This window comes from Homo sapiens, chromosome 9 (assembly GCF_000001405.40).
Source record: "Homo sapiens chromosome 9, GRCh38.p14 Primary Assembly".
In the NCBI taxonomy this organism is placed as follows: domain Eukaryota; kingdom Metazoa; phylum Chordata; class Mammalia; order Primates; family Hominidae; genus Homo; species Homo sapiens.
The window spans coordinates 1,200,585-1,205,125 of NC_000009.12; the positions used below are offsets into that span (position 1 = coordinate 1,200,585).

Consider the following 4,541-nt stretch of genomic DNA (forward strand, 5'->3'; position numbering starts at 1 on the left):
AGGTGACCGTCTTGGGGACTAAGGTTGTTCTGAGTGTGAGGGTCTTGCTGATCAACTTTTCATCACTCTGAAGCTGCTGAGCACAGATAAAAGCATTCACTGCTTCTTACGAGCCTGATTGGAGAAAGATATCATTTCACCAGGGTCACAGAGTGTTTTCTTTAAGCAGCTTCCAGAGTCCCCAGAACCTGCCTACCTCCCTGACCACCATGAAAGGTCTAGCTTTGTATAGCTGCCCCTACACAGGTACAGTCCTTTCCAAGTTCTTATCAGCTGTCCCCTCCCCCACCAACTGCCTCTGAGCTTTGACAAGGTTGAGTTCAGAATAACCATGGGCAGTGGCCAAAGCTCACAGCACTAGGACATTCTGCAAACACTCCAGGTCCTGCACAGACACGGACTTTAAATAGCCCTCCTGTGCCAAGGGCTCAGGATGCATTTCAGGAGCTTATAGGTCACTTGGCACTGATTGCAAGACCACAATGGAAATAACAGCCCCGTGATTTTGTGTGCTGCTATGTCAGCAAATGCTGCATATGAATAAGCCAGGGTTGGAGAGCCTGTGTGTGGTGACATAAGTGAGGGCAGCCAAGCCTGTCCCAAGGCAGCAGACTCTGGGAGACCTGAACGGGGACTCTTGGCAGCTTTTGGAGGAGCCAGACTATTAATACTTAGCCCAGGGCTTGGGAAGCTGTTTGCACTTAGAGTGATTATTTTTTTCATGGTGAAGTAAGAGGTGTCAAGTATGATAGCAGAACACCCCAGGACTATGAGAAAGGCTCCCCTCATATGTCAACTTTCATGCCAACTTCTTGGGGAATGACATTGATTGGTCTATCTCCTACCCAGCCTCAGTCTATGTGAGATGCTCTTCAACTGAAGGGCAGAGCCACTGTGTTCTGCTCTTTGGACAAATGATCCAGGCCAGAAAAGGACTGGGCTCTGTGCTGGCACTCACCAAATCCTCACGGCTCTGATCCCCCTAGCATTTCCATTTGGCACTGAATAGGTGCAGTAGTTCCTTTACATATTTAGGTTTGATCGTGGGTACTGTTTTGAAAGACAGATTTGCATAGTTAAGCATTTTATAAAATATTTTCCCAAAAGCATTTATCAAAGGGAAGTGTGCAAGTCCAAAGGTGGACGGAAGCTGGGGGAGGGTGTGGGAGAGGTGGGGAGAAGAGGTGAGAACCGGGGACCAGAACATATACTTTTCAGCTGCCCTGGCTGGCCTTGGAGCAGCCCTGCTCCTGTGGGAGGGGAAGCTCTGCAGGTTGCAGCGTGGATCAGAGAGATTTATGCCCTGCACAGCGAATACATATCCATGACTCTCCACGGCACAATTTTGAAAGGGTGATTATGGGTCTGACGTGAAGGAATATTTTATATGAAATTGCTGAAAGATCTCTGGGCACTAAGCAAGAATCACCTCAACGCTTTAGAAAGTGTTCCAGTTTGTTTCCCATCGGCTTCTTGGCAGTAGGGATTTGCATGCCGTTTAGCATCCAATCTTGGGCATCCTGCATGCCACCATGCTGAGCGTGGGGCTCCCCTTGAAGAAAAATGTATGGCAGTCTGGGGATAAGTCTCAGTAGCTTTAAAAACGTGCAGAGTCTTGGAAGCTGTAATTTCACTTCTTGTAATATTTCAAAGGAAAAAATCAGAAAAAGCATGTTCCATGAAAAGACGCATGTTCAAAGATGTTTATCATAGTGTGATATTTTCGTATGTGTCTTTCCAGAATGTAATGCCATGCAAATGTGAGCGTATATACATTTGAACAAAGAAAAGTTGGAAACAACTTAAATGTGCCAAAATAGGGGATTTGAAGTTTTAAAAAGTAATACAGAATATTACATACTACTAAGTCAGAAAAATAAGTTTTAGAATGTTATATATATGTATAAAATGGCTATTATTCTATTTGCAGTAAATGGACGTATACACTCATTTGTATGGAGATAAATTCTTGAAGGATATCTAAAAACATGCAAAGATGGTCATCTCTGGGTGGTGAAAATTTGGTGACTTTGCTTTTTAAAACATGAGGCTGCCTGGATTTGCTGTGATAAACAGAGATTACTTGTGTTGCAAAGGGGCAGGGTGCTGCCCTTGTCTTCTTTGGTCCTTTGCCCATCTGGGCTTCTGCCCTGAACTCCAAGCTTTGCTTATACAACCTTCATAGAGAGTCAAGCAGAACCAGTTCTGTTGTCGTCCCTTGGTGTCCAGCACACAGACTCTTGCATTGAATGGAGCTACTGTACATAGACTTAGGCTGCAAAGAAGATGACAGGCAGCTTTTCTGAAATTGTGGTTGACGCCAAGGAAAGGAGCCATTGCTTAATTGATATCTTTTGTCATTTGAACTTATACAACCATATGAGACTTGTGGGGAGAACATGGACCACTTCTTCATTGCTGCAAATGGCTGTATGTCTGGCCTTCAGCCAAGTGTCTGTGTACTAGGAGGCTGCTTTCTTTTCTGTTGTTCTCTTGCTTTTCTCATTAAAATTGTATTACTCATTGAATAATACATGAAACTACCATCATGAGTCTTTGCCTCTGAATCTGAGTCAAAGAATGAGAAGCCTGTTGGAATCTGGCATTTGTGCTTTGTAGTTTGTTATCCTACTCAACAGATTGGTCTGAAATTTTTGGTGTAAAGATTCAGATATTGAACTGTCTCATTATTGCAATATAGTAGCTATCAGAAAACCCATCCTGATTTCTTCCTGTATTCTCTCTTAAGGTGAGGTGGGAAGGGCTTGGTTTTTGATATACCTGGGTTTCAAAGTGGCCTTAATTTTTAGTGGTATTTTCACATTCTACACTACTACTCTTACTATTAGAGAAATGCAGTTTGAGCAGAAGGAAATGCTCTAAAACAATTCCCAAAGCAAAAAGAAACTCCCCTCAGTTAAATTGTTTTTTTTCTTCTTATCATATGCTATGCTGGGGACAAATCAATTTAGCTATTTTTAAGCAAAGAACCCAGTGTTCGTCTTGTACAAAGGAAAAATGGTATCTCAAGTACCAGATCTGTTTCTGTGCCACTAGGCAATGAAGTGATGAGTGTCTACAATATTTACATTAAAATTAAAATGGCAGTTTCTTTTGGTATTGCTGGCATTGCATGGGTGAAATGTGTTTCTAGAAGCAGCTATTTGGGAAATCTTTAAATTTTGCAGTTTAAGGAATACACTGAAGATCCCAGGAAAGTTATGTACGGGGAATAACATTTGCTAGGGACTGATAAAGGCTATGTGTTTGAATCCGTATTTCACTGCGGAGCTAAATTTGCTCTCGGCATTCTGATGCTAATGTCCACCATGGACTGACATAGTCACGTAGAGCAAAATGATATTTTTATACTTTTTCCAGAGCTAATAGTTAATTTTTCTTAGTCTGTTTTTTTAAAAGATGAATCTTCTTTGCCTCTTAGAGTAAATAATAAAAAAGGGCTTAATCAGAAATCAAGTATTTTAGCTTTACTTAATCTAGAGAATATTTAAAATTACTGGATAGAGTCTTGGGCTTAGAAAGAGACCATTTAGGTGAGTCTTGTAATTCTACAGATGAGAAGACAGAGATCAGAAGAATTAAGTGACTAGTCAAGGTCCCACAGAGAGTTGCAGGTCAGGGCCTGGAGCTCTAATCCCCTGCTTTTTCACTACCAGATGGTGCCATGTGAGAAGAGCTTTCCATTCAGTTGGTTATCATCTCTTCCTTTTTCCTCATCCACACCCAAGTTCAGCTGTTTTCCGATGAGAAATGATTTAGGAAGTGAATGTTCCCACCTGAAACCAACAGAAAGTACAGGAAGAGCCTTGCTTTCTGTTTTGAGATGGTTCTGCAACCATGAACCTATATGACCATGTCCTGCATTAGCCTCATGTCCGTGTTGAATCCTGAATGATGACAAAGTGGTAACTCACTACACAGGGTCCAGGAAAGCATTTGTTGCACTCCAAATCCTTTGGAAATTCCCAACTGAAAAACAACAAGGGCTACAGAAAAGGGACTCATCTACCCATGAAGAGTTAGCAGGTGAATCAGTGACACCAGAAGTTGTTGATTGATATAGACCATCTTTGGGCAAACAGAAGTAAACTTCACAAGAGTCTTAGATTCTATGTTTTTTACCATGTCTTGGAGTAGATTTCAAGTTAAACTCCATAGGTGATCATGTGACATTACTGAATAGATAAAAACGCATACAAAATATTAATGTATAGAAAAAAGAGACTTTTAATTTTACCTGCCATAAATTATGCTTCTTTTTCTACCGTGAACTAATGTCTACATTCTATTTCTTTACTTTTTTTTTTTTTTGAGAAAAGTTCTTGCTCTGTTGCCCAGGCTGGAGTACAGTGGTGCAATCACTGCTTACTGTAGCCTCAACCTCCTGGGCTCAAGTAATCTTCCCAGCTCAGCTTCCTGAGTAGCTAGGATTACAGGTGTGCACCACCATGCCCAGCTAATTTTTAAATTTTCTGTAGAGATGGGGTCTTGCTATGTTTCCTAGGCTGGTCTTGAATTTC

General features: G+C 41.5%; 1 annotated feature.

The window, feature by feature from the left end:
* Nucleotides 205-499: an enhancer, noted in NCBI's record as "tiled region #3102; HepG2 Activating DNase matched - State 8:EnhW". NCBI's record gives its function as "activates a minimal TATA promoter and a strong SV40 promoter by Sharpr-MPRA in HepG2 cells {active_cell/tissue: HepG2}" and the evidence as "EXISTENCE:reporter gene assay evidence [ECO:0000049][PMID:27701403]".